Source organism: Homo sapiens, chromosome 5 (assembly GCF_000001405.40).
Source record: "Homo sapiens chromosome 5, GRCh38.p14 Primary Assembly".
In the NCBI taxonomy this organism is placed as follows: Eukaryota; Metazoa; Chordata; class Mammalia; order Primates; family Hominidae; genus Homo; species Homo sapiens.
In genome coordinates this window covers 57,327,131-57,329,127 of record NC_000005.10, presented here as the reverse complement: position 1 = coordinate 57,329,127, position 1,997 = coordinate 57,327,131, and the positions used below count along the sequence as shown (strand labels likewise).

Genomic DNA, 1,997 nt, shown 5'->3' with positions numbered 1-1,997 from the left:
ACAAAACCCTTAACTCCAAAATGGAGGAAAATGTACCTTTGATAAAATTTTCCTGAGCCACAAAGATTAGCAATATGTGTCTCCTTTAATTAATTAAACCAGACTATCTAAAACTCACATATCCCAGAACACCAGGATCTCTGTAAATTTACGATCTGAGAGGTCGAGACCCTCACCCACACAGACTGCCTAGGCACAGGGTACCAATATTTCTCAAAATGCTGCTCCTTGACCACCTTTATCAGAAATTACTCAGAGTGCCTGCTATAAAAATCAGACATCTGTTACTGTATACCTGTATACTGTATACCTGTTACATTTAAAGTGATTGTCAGGATCCTAGAAGTCTGTATTTTACCAAGCTCCAAAAGGGCATTCTTATGAGCAGTAGTATATGAAAACCACTGACAGATATACTGGTCACTACCACCCCCACTGAAACCACCTTTGCAAAATTATGATAGTAAGAGAAATCTGACATAGCTGACTCCATCTTGCTTCTAATCTCTGGGCTGTCCTTATTCATTCCTGCGCATAGGCCAAGCTAACTTTGGAAGGAATTTAGTTTATGGTTTACCTTAAAGCAAGGATGACAATAGCTGTTCCCAAAACTATCCCCTTCTTTTTGGGAACAGAAACTGCCTGTGTAAAACTAAAGGAAGGCCACAAGATGGCCTGAACTCTGCTAAAAGTGGGCATAGTGAAACAATAACCAGCCATTGCAAGAAGTCACAATATTTGTAACTTCCCTAATTGCCCCTATAGATAACATCACTAGAGTATTACCTAAGATGGGTCTTTTGATTTTTTTTTTCAGACCTTTGCATTCTGGTGACCAGCTGACTCTACCTGGACTGGTGACTCATGACTCAACCGGTCCTGAGGCCTCCACCCAGAAGCTGACTCAGTGCAAGAGGACCATTTTCCACACCTCTATGATTTCATCCCCAACCAATCAGCATTTTCCATTCCCTCTCCCTCTTCCTGCCAAACTATCTTTGAAAAACCCTAGCCTCTGACCTTTTAGGGAAGCTGTTCTGAGTAATAGACTCCCATCCTTCTGGTTTGGCTAGGTCTGCATTTATTAAGCTCTTTCTCCACTGCAATAGCACTGTCTCAGTGAATAGGCTCTATCTGTACAGCAGGCAAGAAGAACTCATTGGGCAATTACACTATCCCTTCCTGAATATCCTGCTACAAACTGGGACTCAGATAGCCATAGAGAACTTTCTCTAAATCTTTGCACTGAAAACCTGGTCTGTGCAGTGCAGCACTGCATCACTAGGGACCTTGTTAGAAATGTAGAATTTCAGGCCCTAGCCCAGACCTCCTGCCTCACAGTGCATTTTTCCATTAGAGTTTGAAAGCAGTGCTCTTCTCCTGGGAACCTAGGCTGCCTCCAAGAGTCTAGTGAACACTTTCAGGCTCTGCCAAGATGTTCCTACTGTCAGGATTTCAAAATCGAGTTAAAACTGAGAGAAAAACCAAGGTGAGTGTAGAGTGATTCCCTTTGGTGCCTGCTTTCAAACGAGAAGCTAACAATGAACAGTTAGAAAGGAAAGTAATGTTTTCATGGTCAGGGTGACAAGCCTTGTCTTTAAACCTCTTAGATGCCCGTTTTACCCTCATGGTAGAGACTGCAAGTTGTCCCCTTCTAACCAAACTCCTCTGCTTTCTTCATAATAGAATCCCTTGTATTTCACTAGTGCTTAATGTCCAAAATAGAGACCACATTACTAGTCTTCCCTGAAAGTAGGATATCTATGTGTAAGTTTTAGCCAACACTATAAAAGCAAAGGTGCTTCTTGCAACTTCTAGGAAGTGTCCTTGTAAGAATAGAATATGGCTGGGCGTGGTGGCTCACACCTATAATCCCAGCACTTTAGGTGGCCAAAACAGGCAGATTGCTTGAGCTCAGGAGTTCAAGACCAGCCTAGGCAACATGTCGAAACCCATCGCTACTAAAAATACGAAAATTAGCCAGGCATGGTGGCACA

The 1,997-nt window shown here is 42.5% G+C and overlaps 1 annotated feature.

The window, feature by feature from the left end:
• Positions 398 to 1,597: an enhancer, noted in NCBI's record as "BRD4-independent group 4 enhancer chr5:56623358-56624557 (GRCh37/hg19 assembly coordinates)". NCBI's record gives its function as "activates an origin of replication core promoter dependent on BRD2, P300/CBP, MED14 and CDK7 cofactors, and independent of BRD4, by STARR-seq in HCT116 cells {active_cell/tissue: HCT116}" and the evidence as "EXISTENCE:reporter gene assay evidence [ECO:0000049][PMID:35650434]".